We start from the raw sequence: 19,493 nt of genomic DNA, 5'->3' as shown, positions 1-19,493 counted from the left end.
AGCAACAAAAGGGAATGTATAAGACATGCTACTATCTAATAAGTAACATAATACTGGCAACTAATTTTTCAACAAGAATGAGCAGAAAACAATAAAATGACATATTAAAATTCAGGAAAAAATAGCTGCCTAATTTAGAGTTCTATGCACAAAAAATTATCAAAATGAAGGTACAATAAATATATTTTTGACAAATAAACACAAGAGCATTTCTCACAGGTAGACTCTCACTAAAAGAAAATGTTAAAAATGATTTATTCAGGTAAAAAAATATGATCTCACATAGAAGCATGGGGATTTATAAAGATACATAGAATAATCAAAGGGTAAATATCTGGTTAACTTAAATAAATATTTACTCTAGAAAGCAGTAATAATAATAATATTACTGTGCTGTTGGGCTTAAAATATATGGAGAATTAAAATACTTCATAACAATAACATAAAAGATTTACAGTGCATAAATGGTATTCAATATTGTAATGTATTTACCTGCAAAGTGATAAAATTAGTAAATTACACAGTAATATGTCAAGGAAATATGTCACTAAATCTACAGTAACAGAAAATAAAAATGACAAGTTAAATGGTAAAAGATGGAATAATTAAAACAATTCTGAAGAATCAATGAAGAAATGTAAAATAAATAAAATTGACAAATGCAAAAATTGGATGTTTATAAAGATTAATCAAATTTATTAACCACTAATGTGAAAGATGAAAAAAATATAGAGAGGGAGAAGGTGAATATACCCAAATTGCTCATTACATTAGAGAAATGAAAAATGGGAGACCATTATAGATCCTATGGACAGGAGGATAGGAGGATATTATAAACATCTTTGTTACAAAAAGATTTAAATATTTGGATAAAATGCGCAAATTCCTTAAAATGCCACTTATGAAGAGTGACACAGAACAAATAGAAAATATTAATATTCTTATTTCAAATAAATATATTTAATCTATAATCAAAAGTTTTATCAGGGTAAACAAAACAAAGTGAAACAAAGCACTCCACGATGAGAAGGCATTCTTGGTAAATTTCTTCAAATATTTAAGAAAGAAGTAACATGAACTGTATATCTTCTTTAGATAGTGGGCAACAAAACCCTTTCTAACTTACATCTTCAAAAACAAAACCTCATAAGAGCAGTAGAATAAATAAAAATTAGAGGACAGTTTCTATTTAAAGTTAACAAACAAACAAAAAACACTTAATAAGCCAAAATATAAATTTGTCTTAGCTTTCAAAAATAAGTGCAATTTATATTTTGGGGGAATAAAGAATAAACATGATCATTTTAATACATATAGAAAGCAAATACTTTTAAATATTATATCTGGAGGTTGTTATGGGCTGGATGTGTACACTCCAAATTCATATGTTGAAGCCTGATTCCCAGTGGTATGATATTTGGAGGTGCTGTGGGAGCTGATTTGGTCATGATGATGGAAGCCTCGTGAATTGAATTAGTGCCCTTTTAAGAAGAGACAAATATACAATCTCTCTCCCTCTCTCTTTCTCTCTCTATCTGTCTCCCTACAACCTCTCTCTTTCTCTCTCTGTATTTGTCTCTCAGCCATGTGATGAAACATCAAGAAAGAATGTGTCTATAAGCCAAGAGGTGGGAAATATCCAGACACTGGGTCTGCCAGTACCTTTCTCTTGAATTTCATAGCCTGCAGATCTATGGGAAATAAATGTTTGTTGTGTTAGGAGAGAAGTTCACAGCACTAAACACCCACCCAAAAAAGTTAGAAAGATCTCAAATTAACAAGCTAACATCACAACTAGAGGAACTATAGAAACAAGGGCAAACCAACCTCAACGCAAGGAGAAGGCAAGAAATAACCAAAATCAGAGCTAAACTGAAGGAAATTCAGATGCAAAAAACATTCAAAATAACAATGAATACAGGAGCTAGTTCTTTTAAGAATTAGTAAAATAGATAGACCACTAGCTAGACTAATAAAGAAAAAAAAGAGATGAGATCCAAACAAACACTATCAGAAACTATAAAAGGGATGTTACCACTGACCCCAGAGAAATAGAAAAACCCTCAGAGACTATTATGTACACCTCTATGCACACATGATAGAAAACTTAGAAGAAGTGGATAAATTCCTGGAGACATACAACCTCCATAGATTAAATCAGGAAGAAATTGGATCCCTAAATAGACCAATAATGAGTTCCAAATTTGAATGAGTAATGAGAAGCTTGCTAACCAGAAAAAGCCCAGGACCAGAAGAATTCATAGCCAAATTCTACCAGATGCATAAAGAAGAACTGGTACCATTCTTACTGAAAGTGTTTCAAAAAACTGAGAAGGTAGGACTCCCCTCTATCACATTCTATGAGGCCAGCAGCATCCTGATACCGAAACCTGGCAAAGACACAACGTAAAAGAAGACTTCAGTCCAATAACTTTGATGAACATAGATGCAAAAATACTCAACAAAATACTAGCAGACCAAATCTAGCAGCACATAGAAACAAACAAAACAAAAAGGAATTCACCACTATCAAGTAGGCTTTATCCCTGGGATGCAAGATTGGTTCAACATATACAAATCAATAAATGTGATTCACCACATAAATGGAATTAAACACAAAAACCACATGATTATTTCAGTGGATACAGAAAAGGCTTTTGATAAAATTCAACATCACTTCATATTAAAAACCTTCAATAAACGAAACATTGAAGGAACATACTTCAAAATTACGAGAGCCATCTATGACAGCCCCACAGCCAATACGATACTGAATGGGCAAAAGTTAAATGCATTCCTCTTGAAAACCAGAAAACGACAAGGATGCCCTCTCTCACCACTATTATTCAAAATAATACTGGAAGTCTTAACCAGAGCAATCAAGAAAGAGAAAGAAATAAAGCCATCCAAATAGGAACAGTGAAAATCAAACTGTTCCTGTTTGCAGATGATGTGATTCTTTACCTAGAAAACCACACAGTCTCTGCCCCAAAGCTGCTTATAAACAACTTCAGCACACTTTTAGGATACAAAATGAATGTACAATAATCAGTAGCATTGATGTGCACCAGCATTGTTCAACCTGAGAGCCATGTCAAGAATGCAATCCCACCCACAATAGCAATAAAAAGAATAAAATACCTAGGAATAGAGCTAACCAAGAAGGTGAAAGACATCTACAATGAGAATTACAAAATGTTGCTTACAGAAATCAGAGATGACACAAACAAATGGAAAAACATGTTGTGTTTGTGAATAGGAACAATCAATATTATTAAAATGGCCATACTATCCAAAACAATTTGCAGATTCAATGCTATCATTATCAAATTACCAATGACATTTTTCACACAATTAGAAAAATATTATTTGAAAATTCATATGGAAGCAAAAAAAGCCCAAGTAGCCAAGGCAACCCTATACACACACACACACACATACACACACACACACACACACACACATCACAAAACTGGAGGCATTATATTAACTGGGTTCAATCTATACTTCTATACTACAAGGCTATAGTAACCAAAACAATCATTGTAATGGTATAAAACCAGACACAGACATATAGACCAATGAAACAGAATAGAGAGCTCAGAAACAAAGCCTCTTACCTACAACCATCTGATCTTCAACAAAATTAACAAAAAGAAGCAATGGGGAAAGGATTATTTATTTATTAAATGGTGCTGGAATAACTGGCTAGCCATATGCAGAAGATTTAAACTGGATTCCTTATTTTCATCATATACAAAAATTAACTCAAGAGGAATTAAAACTTTGCTATGAAAACTCTGGAAGATAACCTGGGAAATACCATTTTGGACATAGAAGGTAGCAAAGATTTCATGATGAAGATACCAAAAATCAGTTAAAATAAGAACAAAAGAAATGACAAAAAGGACCTAATTAAACAAAAGATCTTTTGCACAGCAAAAGAAACTATCAATAGAGTAAACAGATAATCTACAGAATGGGAGAAAATATTTGCAAAGTAAGCATCTGACAAAGGTCTAATATTCAGCATCTGTAAGGAACTTAAACAACTTTACAAAAAGCAAACAAACAAACAATCCCATGAAAAACTGGGCAAAGAACATGAACAAACACTTTTCAAAAGAAGACATAAATGCAGCCAAAAAGCATAGGAAAAAATGCTCAACATCATCAATCATTAGAAAAATGCAAATTATCTATCTCAAAATTACCTCTTGGTGCCTTGTCAAGCCACCCCACCCCACCTCACCCCTCCAAAAAGTACGTGTAATATGTATGTTTTAACACCTCTTTTGGGCTGGTATGTGTGTGTATGTACGTATGTGTTTTGATTACTGGATAAAAGAGTCATACATCAGCCGGGCGCAGTGGCACGTGCCTGTAATCCCAGCTACTCGGGAGGCTGAGGCAGGAGAATTGCTTGAACCCGGGAGGCAGAGGTTGCAGTGAGCTGAGATTGCCCCACTGCACTCCAGCCTGGGAGACAGAGCAAGACTCCATCTAAAAAAAAAAAAAAAAAGTCATACCATGACCAAGCAGAACTGACTATTGAAGGTTTTCTTAGCTGCTTGGAGAAATTGCAGATACATCTATCTGAATCTGAGAACTGATTGGGATTTGGTATGTGAACAACTGGAGAGAACCATACACTTTATAATTAATATTATATCCAGTGATTTCAAATAATATGATAGATTTTGCTGATACAGTACTGCTGTCTGTGTTCCTACTCATACACTTACCTGGTTACAGATGTTAGGTCAAGATGAGGTCTGCATCTAATCCTGTATAAGAGCAAAGATTTTTCATAGGGTGCTGTGAGGGCTTTGCTAACTTTATTTTGTCCGAATGGCCAGAAAAAGGATGCTCTAATGGAAATAGCAAACCCGTATCATTAAACTCTTTAGAAACAAATAAACTGGTTTAATAGGCAAAAAAAAAAAAAAAAAAAAAAGAAAGAAAAATGCAAATTAAACCCACAATGAGATACCATCTCCCACCAGTCAGAATGGCTATTATTAAAAGTCAAAAAGTAACAGATGCTTGTATGTTTGGGGACAACAGGGAACATTTATGCAATGATCATGGGAAAGTAAATTAGGTTAGTCATTGTGGAAACCAGTTTGGTGATTTCTCAAATAAAACAGAATTACCTTCTGACCTAGAAATCCCATAATTGGGTATATACCCAAAGGAATACAAATCATTCCATCATAAAGACCCATGCATATACATGTTCAGCACAGCACAAGTAACCATAACAAAGACATGGAATCAACCTAAGTACCCATCAATGGCAGACTAGATGAAGAAAATGTTATATACATATATATGTGTATACACACACACACGTACACATATATGTATATACACACACACATATATATACACAAATATATACATATACACATATATGTATATATATGTATGTGTACACACACATATGCACACATGCACACACATATACACATGCATACATACATACATACCATGGAATTCGATGCAGCCATAAAAAAGAATGAGATCATGTCCTTTGCATCAACATGGATGGAGCTGCAACCTGGGAAATACCGTTTTGGACATAAAAGGCAGCAGGCCAGTATCCTAAGCAAACTAACACTGGAACAGAAAACCAAATTCCAAATGTTTTCACTTATAACTGGGAGCTAAACTTTGAGTACATTAGGATATAAAGAAGGGAACAACCTAGACTGGAACCTACATGAAGGTGGAAGCTGGGAGGAGGGTGAGGATGGAAAAACTGCGTATAAAGTACTGTGCTTATTACTTGGGTGACAAAATAATTTGTACACCAAACATCTGTGAAACACAATTTACCTATTAAACCTACATATTTACCCCTGAACCTAAAATAAAAGTTGAAAAAAATTAAAAATGGGAAATCAGGATTGTGTACTGATATTAATAAAGTTTAAAATCTGAAAAATGTCCTGTTGACTTGGATGTATTTTTTTGTAGTGTTATATCCATTAAATGGCTTCAGAAAGGCAAACTTCTGTTTTAAAAACCATACTTATTTGAATAGTATTAGTCATTAGCTTTGAAAAGAATAATATTTTTATACCTATGAGATTTATTAGTATGCTGATTCCTGGATATTTTTGCTTTTTATTATTTTTGGAGTCATGATGTTAAGTGACAAAATGACTGGAGATAGTTTTAAAAATTTTGTATTATTGCAGCTGAAACCAAAACTAAGAAAAGTACTCTTAGTACAGGCTGTTAGCTAAGGAGATGTCTTTGGTTCTGTAATGTCTGTTCATTAGTGTTTAAATAACAAATTAGATTTTTAACTTCACAATTAGTTATGTTGAATGGGTGAGACATTTTATCCCATACATTTATAAACTCAAAAATAATGGGTTGCATCATCTTCATTTTTCTATACTGAACTGAATTCTAAAATAAATGCTCTGGATGGGAGAAATGTGGAAGTTACTTTGGAACTGGATAATAAGTAAAGGCTGAAAGAGTACTGATATACATGCTAAATAAAACCAATATTTCCCTGAATGAACTATTCAAAGCAATTCTGGTGGGTGTTAGACAGGACATAGAGACCTGGAGAAGAAGCTCCCATTTTCATAAAGAACACAAACAATCATGTATAGAATGTTGGTAGAAATATGAATGGTGAAGGTCAATGTAATGAAGTCTTAGATGGGAATAAGAAAGGTTATTAGACAAGGGAGAAAAGGTAATCCTTGTTATAAAGTGGCAAAGAACTTGGCTGAATTGTATTCATGTTCTAGTGCTTTCTGGAATATAGAACTTGCAAGAAATAAAGATAGATATTTAGCTGAGATTTCTAAGCTAAGTATTGAAGGAACAGCTTGGTTACTCCTGACTGATTATAATAAAATGTAAGAAGAAAGAAACATATTGAAGACGGAGTTGTTAAACAAAAATGAGCAGAAAAATACTTAGAGATTTCTCAGCCTATACATATGCAACCTATCCATATTGCAGCCTATTCATATTGCAAATTGCCCAACAACTGTTTGATAAAAGGATCAGTATGGGTGTGAAGCACAGTCTTAATCAGCCACCCCAGCAGAAACACTGCTAATTTGAACTGAAGGAAGACATGATAGGATGAAAGAAGGCCATCAGACTTTTTAGATACTATAGGACCAGATTATAGAGCTATTTGGCTGTAAAATGTGTGCTATTCTTCAGGACAAGAGAAGTATGCCAAAGATGATCTCTGTATTAAGGCTGCCACTCCAGCCACAGATCCAGAGTGTTGAACCTGGGGAGCAGGATTACCTCCACCTTGGTTTCAAAGAGTGGGACTACTAATAGCACAGGCATGAGGGTAGGGCTACTCATATTTGTGGGGGCATAATCCAACCTCAGTGAGTCCTGTAGGCAGAATCACCACCCCAGTGAGTCTGGAAGGCAGAACGTAGAGCCAAAGAGGATTATCATTGAGTTCTAGGAACTCATATTGTTTGCTGTTATAGGTTTTAGATTTGTGTAGAACCTGTTATCCCTTGCTTCTTCCCTAATCTTTTTTACAAAATGGGAATGTCTATTCCGTGCCCATCCCATCACTGCATTTGAAAGCATATAACTTTTTTGGTTTCATAGATTCACATCTGGAGAGAAATTTTGCTTCAGGATTGTATCTTGAGTTTCACCCATATCTGTTCTAGATAATATTTACATGAAACTTTGAACTACAGATGTTAAAGTTGATGGTGGAAGGAGTTAGGACTCTTGGAGCAGTCGGGATAGAATGCAATTCTTTTGCCTATGAGAAAGACATGAATTTTAAGAGGTAAGTGGTGGAATGATATGGACTGAATATTTGTATTCCCAGAAATGTATATGTTGATGTCTAATTCCCTATGTGATAGTAATTGGACGTGAGGATTTTGAAAGGTATCAAAACTTTTTTGCTTACTTAAAACTTTTAAATTGTTTTCAGCTTTAAGATATAATTGACTAACAAAAATTGTATATATTTAACATGAACAACTTGATATTTTGATATATGCATATATTGTGAAATAATCACTTCAATCAAATTAATTAACATATCAATCACCTCACATAGTTACCATTTCCTTTTCTATTTTTTTCATGTGTGTGCGTGTGTGTGTGTGTGGCAAGAACTCTTAAGGTTTACCCTCTTAAAAACTTTTAAATATACCAGCAATGTTGTTAACTATGGTGAGTGTGCTTATGCTATACCTTAGCTCTCCAGAAATTATTCATCTTGCATAACTGACAATGTGTACTCTTTGACCAAAGTCTTCCCATTTCCCTCTCCGCCAAGCCTCTGATACCATCATTCTACTATCTGTTTTTATGAGTTTGATTATTTCATATTTCACACATAAGAGAGATGATGCATTATTTTTATTTCTGTGCTCGGTTTATTTTATTTAGCATAATGTCTTACAGGTTTATTTTATTTTATTTTATTTTATTTTATTTTATTTTATTTTATTTTGTTTTATTATTTTATTTTTGAGACAGAGTGTTGCTCTGTCACCCAGGCTGGAGTGTAGTGGCATGATCTCAGCTCACCGCAACCTCCGCCTCCTGGGTTCAAGCGATTCTCCTGTCTCAGCCTCCCGAGTAGCTGGGATTACAGGTGCACACCACCAAGCCCGGCTAATTTTTGTAGTTCTAGTAAAGACAGGGTTTCACCGTATTGGTCAGGCTGGTCTAGAACTCCTGACCTCAGGTGATCCAACCGCCTTGGCCTCCCAAGTGTTGAGATTTCAGGCTTGAGCCACTGTGCCGGGCCAACAGGTTTATGTCGTTGATACAGCACTTTTGTTTTCTTTTTTTTACATTTCTTTTCTTTTTTTCCCCCAAGGTCTTGGTGTAATTTTAGAATTCACTTCAACTTTGGATTCAGCTAATACATGCCATTACATCATTGACCAATGTTGTATATATAGCACATTTAAAAAAATCAATTCATCCATTGATGGACGGTTAGATTGTTTACATATCTCAGCTATTGTGAATAAAGCTGCAATGAATGTGAGAGTGTTAATGTCTCTTCCAGATCCTGGTTTCAATCATTTTGGATATATACACATAAGTGAGATTGCTAGATCATATGGTAGGTAGTTGTATTTTTTACTTTTTAAGGAGCCTCCATACTGTTTTCCATAACAGCTGCACCAACTTTGCCAACAACAGCATAGAAAAGTTCCCTTTTCTTCACACCTTGACCATCACTTTCTATATTTTGTTTCTTGATAGTAGCCATTCTAACAGGCATGAGGTAATATCTCATTGTGGTTTTGATTTGCAGTTTTCTGAGAATTAGTGATGTTGAACACCTTTTTTTATACTTATTGGCCATTCGTATGTCTTCTTTCAAGAAATGTCTGTTCAGGTCATTTATCCATTTTTAATAGGGTTTTTTTTGGTATTGAGTTTATGAGTTCCTTATATATTTTGGATATTATTCCCTTATCAAATATATGGTTCGCACATATTTTATTCTATTTTATACGTTGTCTTTTCACTTTCTTGATTGTTTCCTTTGCTGTGCCAAAGTTTTTTATTTTGATGTAGTATCACTGGTCTATTTTTTTTTTTGCTTTTGTTGCCTCTGCATTTGATGTTATGTTCAATTATTGTCAAGATCAATGTCAAGAATCTTTCTTCTTATGTTTTCCTCTAGTCGTTTTATGGTTTCACCTCTTAAGTGTAAGTCTTTAATTCATGCAAAGATGTCATCAAAATACAAAAATCAGTGGTTTCTATGCAGTAGTAATGAACTATCTGAAAAAATTAACAAAACAATACCATTTAAAATAGCAAAAAATATACTTAGGAATAAACTTAAAGAAGTGAAAGGTTTTTACACTGAAAATAATAAAAGAATTATGTAAAAAATTAAAGAAACCACAGGTAAATGCAAAGATGCTCCATGTTTATTGATTTGAATAACTAATATTGTTAAAATGTCCATACCACTCAAAGGTATCACAGATTTACTTTAATCCCTATCAAAGTCCCAGTGGTATTCTTTTTAGATATATAAAAAATAATCTTAAAATTCACATGGAATCAGAAAGGCCCCCAAATAGCCAAAGTAATCTTGAACAAGAATACAGAGAGAGGCATCACACTTGCTAATTTCAAAACATATTAAAAATGTACATTTGTCAAAACAGTTGAGTACTGGCACAACAACAGACATAGACACATGGAAAAGAATAGAGATCTCAGAAAAAAATCTACACATTCACAGTCAGCTGATCTTTGACAAGGGTGAATGAATAGACAATGAAGAAAGAATAGTCTCTTTAATAAATGGTCTTGGAAAAATTTGATATCTTCATGCAAGATTATGAAATTGGACCCTTATACCACATACAAAATTTAAGTTAAAAATATAGCATGATTCAGATGTTTTGTGGTTGGAAGTAATAATAAATACGTGTTTTAAAATGCCTCTGCAGCTTTGGCACCATAACATTTTTGTAACGTAAAATAAAAAGCATGGTCATTGTAAAAAATCAAAGAATATGTACATGCTGGTTGCTACAGATACTGTCACAAGTGCCAAGAAGCTGAATTGGCAAGTTAGTAATGGGTGTGCCGGCAGATAGGAGGGGATGCAGAAAACCAGCAAGAAATGATGCTTGTGTCTGTTTGGCCTACTGTCAACATTCCAGACAGCAAGAAAGTGGGTGGCAGGTAAAGTGAGCTGTCCTTTAATATTCAGTATTGTAGATCCAAGTGTTTTGAGATAATACTTTGTAGAGCTATGTTTGATATCTTTTAATATACGACATCCCTTTTGAAGAAGAAAGCACAGCTTTCATCACATAAAGGCATCAACTTCTAAAAAAAAAAAAAAGAAAAAACAAACAAAAAGTGAAACCTCTGATCCAGTAATGGTTCATTTATCTGGAAACTGATTCAGAAAGTTTGGAGTTATCCCTAGAATTGTGAATTACACAATGATAAGGCAAAATTAATGAGATATACAACCTCTAACACTGAGATATTTCGAGTGAAGCACAGCTTTTGATAGTGGACTCACATAGAAACAGTGGTTCATGTCTGAAGCCATTTATTTTAAAGAATCTTCAGAATTTTTTTTTTTTTTTTTTTTTTTTTTTTTTTTGAGACGCAGTCTCTCTCTGTAGCTCAGGCTGGAGTGCAGTGGCGTGATATGGGCTCACTGCAACCTCTGCCTCCTGGATTCAAGAGATTCTCCCGCCTCAGCTTCCTGAGTAGCTGGGATTACAGGCGTGTGCCACCACACCCAACTAATTTTTGTATTTTCAGTAGAGACGGGTTTCACCATGTTAGCCAGGCTGGTCTCCAACTCCTGACCTCAGGTGATCCGCCCACCTCGAGCTCCCAAAGGGCTGGGATTACAGGTGTGAGCCACCCAGCTGGTTGAGATAAATTTTTGTAAAAGACATAGGTGTAGGGCTCTCTAGTTTTCAGAAAACCATCAGGTTACAGAACACCTGGAATAAAAAGAAGTATTTATTTGTTAGTTGCCCTGAAAAAAAATTTTTCTTTAATACTAAGAGCATTTAATTATCTACAGGTGAAGAATTTACAAAATTTTGGTATATCAATGTGGATTATACAGACGAAGTGGAAAAAAGAAATGTATCAGATTTTTGACAAGGTTTTAATTTTCTTCAGGAATCTGGACTTAAAAATTGGCCCTTATTCAGAGAAGAAAAAACTGTTTCAGAGAACTAGTGACAATTTAAGAATGATAAAGAGCACTTGGCTGGATAACTGAAAAAATATTCTAACATTTTCCCTAGCAAATAGCATGCGCCTTTTTGTTCCTCTGTTTGTTTTTGAGCACACAGTTACAAATGCAAAACACAAAATATTTCTTGCTGATACTCAGAATTTGTTTGACTTCATAACTTCAATTTCATATTTCTTCCTATTTTGAGCTCTAGAAAAGAATTTATAGAACAACTGTAAATTATAAAATTTAAAACATTTTAACAGGATAGGTTACGGTGAAATAATTTGATGGGTGATATCATGTAGTACTCAATATTAACCTGATATTTTGAAAAGGAGGGAGAAAGTTTTCATAGCATCCATATGTCTTTATTTGAGGTTTATGCTCTACTTTATAACAGTTTCTCTGTTACCTTTTCATTATTTTAGAGCAAATTTGCAGATTAAATTTCAATGCAATAATTGTGCATCTGTTCCAAAGAACATACGTATAATGAAATAATTGTAGACAGATTTTTTAATGTATTAGTGACTTCAATTTTATTTGCTTTAATTCCATTGGCTTCCAATGGCCATGGAAGTACACTTTGGAAATATTGTTGAGGACTACAATCTGACTTTATTTTTGACAATATGAATTACATAATTTAAACAGAAGCCATTCTTCTTGATAAAATGTCATTGAAATTAATACACATTACATATTAAAAAGGGAAAATTAATGGATTCATATTTTTCTCTCCAATTTTGCAGCTCTGAAGTAAGCAAATTTAACTATTTGGTGTACAACATTTTTTGTGTTTTTCTAAACATAAATGTGCCTATTTTTCCCAAACGTAGATTATAAAAGAAATATTTTTGGTCACTTCCTTTTGCCTATAAATATGCTAATATTTCTCTATCAATATATATTTTTCACTCTAACAAAATAAATAGTTGTAGAATTTTACTTAATATGAACATTGAGTAGCATATTTTTCCATACGCCTGTTGATGGATATTTGGTTTGATTCAAATACTTCTCCTATAAGTATTGCTGCAATTAATTTTCTGATGCATTTTGTAAAAAACAGATGGAAAATATGAGAAATGTGTGAAAAGATAAGATAAAAATGAGAAAAATAAGGGCGGTATGAAAAGGAAAGAAAATAAAAAGCTTAGAAGCAAAACTAAATATTAATTATCATATTTCATGGAATCTAAATTTCCAATCATTTTCAGATTTACTATTATCTTATGTACCATCCAGAAAGAAAAAGTACTGGGAATTAACTCTGGCATAATTATCCCTTATCAAAATAGAATTTGAAAAATATGGACCTTCAATTACGGAATAAATATTTATGTAGTACATAAGATATCTCTTGTATAGTTTGTATTAAAATGAAACAGCATAATTTATCTACTCTTTTTATTTACCTTGTAGATATAGGCCTTGGAGTGATTAATGTTTCAAGATATTCTAAATAAAAAATAAGCTTCTGACTGAGACAGAATGTTAAAATTTAAGTGCAAATACATAATTTTTACGCTGAATTGCTTTAATTTTAATCTTTAAATTACAAAGCAAAACATAATTACAATGAGGGCCTTTTGTAAGCAATAATAAAACTGTTAAAAAGAAAGGACTATTAGAGGAAAGCACTTTCTGAGAACAATGCTAAGCAATTTTATGGTATTGTTATACATGCCCATAAATTGTATTGATCATCTTTTTCAACTTCTTTGCTATCTATGTTTATATCTTCTTACACAGGGACATCTCACATTCAGGTGATTAGTATATGTATATATAATATACATATCATTTATCAGGATATAATATAAAGTTACAATAATTAAGAATATGGATGTGCAATTAGACCAATAAAATGGAATAGAAACCTTAGATATTTTAAAAATATTTATTTATGACATGCATGACCCTGAAGTTCAATGAAGAAAAAATATAATCTCCAATTAATATTATTGAGTCACTTGGATATTAATATGCAAATAATGGATCCTGATTTCTATATGACATTATGCACAAAGTGATTATAGGTCACAATGTGAGGAATAAAAGGAAGAATATCCAGGAGAAAACATTTATACCTTTATGAATTTAGAATGTGAAAATATTTTAAAAATGGAACACAAAAAACACTAAATGTAAAGAAAAATATATGCATCTACATATTGAAACTAGACTTCATTAAAATTAAAGATATATGTTTACCATTGGACATTAAGAGAGTATAAAAACAAGTTCTAGTGTGGGAAATATTTTCAAGAAACATATCTGTAAAAGGACTCATTCATAATACATAAAGAACTTCCACAAATCCATTAGTAAAAGATAGACAACTCAGTGATAAATGAGTAAAACTCTGGAATAGTTAATTCTCAAAAGAGGATGTTTACATGGCTAATGAATATATGTAAAGATGCTTAACATTATTGGTCGTAATTGTTGGAGCAGATCAAATATATTGTATAATTTATTTGCAAAAGTTTTCAATAGAGAAAAAACTAATCTATACTGTAGGTAAAACCCGAAAGGTTCCCTTGTTCCCCTCGCAGGGTGTGCGATGGGGGTGTGGCTCCCTTCTACAGTGCCCCCGCTGCTCAAACCTCTAGCGGAGCATACAGCGGGGCAAGTTGTGGGGCTTCGACCCCAAGGCAGTGTGGGTGTGTGTTACAGTGTGCTCTATTAGTTTGCTGTCTATAGGCGGTTTGTGTTAATCAGCTCAATTGGACCCCTTTCTTTATCAAAAGGACAGAGGGATTTCTGCAGCTCTCTGCCCAATGAGGGAGCCAGAAGGGAGATGGTTTTCCCCTGGAGTCTGGCCGCACTTCTCCAACTGCCCCAGCCAAACTCCACATCCTCCCGCCAGTCGTGCCAGTGCCTGTCAGTGTGGTCTTCGTGTGGTCTTCTGCCAGCGTACTCCTCTCCAAGTCCACAGAACAACCAGACTCTTGTGTCTTCTTCTGCCGACGTGCTCTTTGGCCAATGTGCATCTCTCAACGTCTGGCTGCCTGTGTGTCTGCCCGCTAGGGTCTTGGGTTTTTATAGACCCAGGATGGAGGTATGGGAGGCCACGGTGGTCTTGGGAAATGCAACATTTGGGCAGGAAATGCTTGTCCTCACCTAGGTCTGAAGGGGTGGAGCCCTATCCGGGGACCCGCCTTTCTCTACCCAGCACTTCCCTTCCCGTTTCTGTATCATTTAAAGGGACCATGTTCTTCCCTTCCCAGCACTCCCATATCATTAGCAGTCAAGAAAATTGTTAGCTTTGGAAGCATTAAGGTGGACTTGAGTGCTGTAATGTTTACTCTATTGACCCAGGTTCTGGGTATCTGTGGATGTTTACTTTATTAAAAAATATTGAGATGTATACTTACTATTTGTGGGGTTTTTTTTTGTATACAGAGATTAATGAACAGTTTTAGATCACCACAAAAACAATGACATGATGATTCGTTAGTGCTTACTATGAACCAGGCATTATTCCAAGTGATTTACATAAATTGACTCATTTAATGCTACCAACCTTATGAGGTAAGCGATTTTCCTCAATTTAGCTGAGTGAAATGAGGTTATAGTAGTTAAGTAACTTACCTAAGGTTATGCAGCTAATGACTTGTGAAGTCAAAATTGAAATTCCTATAGCCTAACTACAAAGCCTAAGTTCTTAACCACCATACTATAACTCAGAATGTAATTGTACGTTTTTATGTTAATTTTTCAATTTAAAATTTTGCCTAGTCAACAATTGCATATAAATTAATATATCTAAATAGAAGCTTTTTGCTTTTGATTGTTTTGTTTTGTTGTAATGCAGTTTCTAAGAACAGGTTATCAATCTTACTTTTAGATTCATAACTAGAGAAATCTTCTATCATGGAATTGAAGTAGATAAATGAAACAACTTGTATCTACTTTTACTCTTAGAAGCAAAATGTTCAGAAAGGTATTTTCTGACTTTATTATAACTAGTTTTCACTTTGTCTACTTTTTTTCTTTATTTTAAAATTTTTAATGTTTAAGTTTTGTGAGTACATAGTAGATGTATATGTTTATGGGGTATATGAGATATTTTGATACAGGCATGCAATGCATAACAATCACATGGGAGTAAATGTGGTATCAGTCACCTCAAGTATTTATCTTTTCTGTGTTTTACAAACAATCCCATGATACTCCTTTAGTTATTTTAAAATGCACAATAAATTATTGTTGACAAGTCATTACCAGCCTCTAATACCCATCATTTTGCTCTCTATCTACATGAATTCAATTGTTTTAATTTTAGCTCCTACAACAAATAAGTGAGGATATGCCAAGTTTGTCTTTCTGTGCCTGACTTATTTCACATAACATAATGACTTCCAGTTCCATTCATGTTGTTGCAAATGACAGGATCTAATTCTTTTTTAATGGCTGAATAGCACTCCTTTGTATATATGTTCCACATTTTCTTTATCCATTCATCTGTTGATGGACTCTTAGGTTGATTGGAAGTCTTGGCTACTGTAAACAGTGCTGTAAAAAATGTAGGAGTGCAGATATTTCTTCGATATACTGAATTCATTTATTTTGGGTATATACCAAGCAGTGAGATTGCTGGATCACATGGTAGCTCTATTTTTAGTTTGTTGAGGAATCTCCAAATTGTTCTCTGTATTGGTTATACTAATTTACATTCCCCAGAGTTTACAAGCATTCCATTTTCTCCACATCCTTGTCAGCATTTGTTATTGCCTGTCTTTTGCATACAAGCCATTTTAGCTGGAGTGAGATGATACCTCTTTGTAGTTTTGGACTTGCATTTCTCTTATGATCAATAATGCTGAGCAGATTTACATGCCTGTTTGCCATTTGTATGTCTTCTGTTGAGAAATGTTTACTCAGATATTTTTACCACTTTTAAAACAGATTATTATACTTACTCCTAGAGTTTTGTTAGCTCCTTATATTTTTTGGTTTTTAATTCCTTGCCAGGAAGATAGTTTGAAGATATTTTCTCCCATTCTGTGGGTTGTCTCTACACTTTGTTCACTTTGTCCTTTGCTGTGCTTTTGAACTTAATGTGCTTCCATTTGTACATTTTTGCTTTGGTTGCCTGTGCTTGTGGGTGTTTTTTTCAAGAAATTATTGTTCAATTTAATCTCTTAAAGAGTTTCCCAATTTTTTTTCAGTAGTTTCGTAGTTTGAGGTCTTAGATTTAAGTCTTTAAATCATTTTGATTTAATATTTGTATATGGTGAGATACAGGAATTTAGTGTCATTTTTCTGCCTATGAATATTCAGTTTTCCACCTATGAATATTCAGTTTTCCCAGCACAATATTTTGAAGAGACTATCCTTTCCCCAATGTACATTCTTGGCATTTTTGTTGAAAATGAGTTGAATGTAGATGTATAACTTTATTACTGGGTTCTCTGCTCTGTTCCATTGATTCATGTGTCTGTTTTTATGCCACCACCATGCTATTTTGCCTACTATAGCTCTGCATTATAATTTGAAGTCAGGTAATGTGATTCCTCCAGTTTTGTTCTTTTTGCTCAGGATAGCTTCAGCTACTCTGGGTCTTTTGTGATTCCATATTAATTTTACAATAGTTTCTGTGAAGAATGCCATGGTAATTTGGTAAAAATTGCATTGAATCTGTAGAATGTTTTGGGTAGTACAGACATTTTAACAATATTGATTCTTCCAATCGGTGAATGTGGAATACCTTTCCATTTTTTTTGGTATTCTCTTCAATTTTTTTGAAAGTGCTTTATAATATTCATTGTAGAGATTTTTCACTTCTTTGGTAAGTTAATGCCTAGGTATTTTATTTTATTTGTAGCTATTTTAAATGGAATTACTTTCTTGATTTCTTTTTCAGATTGTTTGCTTTTGGCATATAGAAATGCTCCTGATTTTCACATGTTAATTTTGTTTCCATCAACATTGTGGAATTTATCACTTCATATATATATATATACACACACATACATATACATATATATACACACACATATATACATATATATACACACATATATATACACATATATATACACATATATATACACATATATACACACATATATACACATATATATACACATATATATATACACATATATATATACATATATATATATATACATTTTTTTATGCTGAAGTCTTTAGGTTTTTCCAAATACAAGATCATATTGTCTGCAAACAAGGATAACTTGCTTCTTCCTTTCCAATTTGTATGCTCTTTCTTTCTCTTGTCTGATTACTGTAGCTATAACTTCCACTACTATGTTGAATAATGGTGGTGAAAGTGGACATCCTTTTCACATTCCAGTTCTTAGAGGAAAGGCTTTCAGTATTATACCAGCTGTGGTTCTGTCATACATGGGTTTTACTGTGTGACGTTATGGACCTTCTATACCCAGATTTTTGTGGATTTTTATCGTGAAAGTACGTTGAATGTTATCTAGTGGTTTTCCAGCATCAATTGAAGTGATCATATAGTTTTTTTCCCTTCATTCTGTTGATATGAATTATCACATAGACTGTTTTGCATATGTTGAACCATGCTTGCCTCCCAGGGATAAATCCCACTTATCATGAATAATCATGAAGATCATGAAAAAATGATCTTTCAGTATGTTGTTCAATTTAATTGGCTAGTATTTTGGTAACCATTTTGCATCAATGTTCAAGAGGGATATTGACAGGTAGATTTTTTTATGTTTCTTTGTCTGATTTTGGCATCAGGGTAGTATTTACTTCATAGAATGAGTTTAGAAGTATTCCCTCCTTTGTTATTATTTTACTAGCTTGGGTGCAAGTGATATAACCTCTTCTTTAAATGTTTTGGTATAATTCAGCAGTGAAAACATTGGGTTCCAGGATTTTCTTTGCTGGGAGAGGTTTCTATTTTATTTTATTTTTTCTGTGGCTTCAATCTCATTATGTATTTTTGATCTATTAAGATTTTGAATATATCCATGGTTCAAATTTGGTAGGTTGTATGTATCTAGATATTTATCAATTTTTTGTTAGTTTTGACAATTTACTGGCATATAGTTGCTCATAGTAGCCCCTAATAATCATTTGAATGTCTGCAATATCAGATGTAATGTCTAATGTCTAATTTTTTATCTCTGAATTTATGTCTTCTTTTTTTTTTAACTTAGTCTGGCTAAAGGTTTGTTGATTTTGTTTATCTTATCAAAAAACTTACTTTTTATTTTGTTAGTCTTTGTATTTTTTTCTTTATTTCAATTTCATTTATTTCTCCTTATTTTCTTCTAATAATGTTGGGTTTGGATTGCTCTTCTTTTCTAATTCTTTAAGGTACATGATTAGATTGTTTATTTGTAGTTTTTAAATTTTTCATGTAGGCACTTATAGTGATAACCTGTCCTTTTAATGTCCTCTTTAGTGTATCCGACAGGTTTTGGTATGTTGTGTTTCTGTTTTCATTTGCTTGAAGACATTTTTAAATTTTCTTCCTAATTTCTTTATTGATACACTGGTTATTCAGCAGCATATTTTATAATTTCCATGTGTTCACAAAATTTCCAAAATTATTATTCTTATTGATCTATAGTTTTATTCAATTTTCTTCAGAGAAGATGCTTAATATAGTTTCATTATTCCTCAATTTTTAAGACTTGTTTTATGGATAATGCATGGTCTATTCTTGAGAATGATCCATGTGCTTTAAAGAAGACTATGTATTTTGCAGTTGTTGGATGAAATGGTCTGTAAATATTTATTAGGTCCATTT

The 19,493-nt window shown here is 33.2% G+C and overlaps 1 pseudogene; it reads right to left on the bottom strand.

The window, feature by feature from the left end:
* Positions 1 to 8,854: 8,854 nt before the first annotated feature.
* Positions 8,855 to 8,926, bottom strand: LOC124905267 (uncharacterized; annotated as a pseudogene).
* Between the last annotated feature and the right edge of the window lie 10,567 nt (positions 8,927 to 19,493).

The sequence above is a fragment of the Homo sapiens genome, chromosome X (genome assembly GCF_000001405.40).
Source record: "Homo sapiens chromosome X, GRCh38.p14 Primary Assembly".
Classification (NCBI taxonomy): Eukaryota; Metazoa; Chordata; class Mammalia; order Primates; family Hominidae; genus Homo; species Homo sapiens.
The sequence above is the reverse complement of the archived record's forward strand: the minus strand, read 5'-3'. Positions and strand labels throughout refer to the sequence as shown.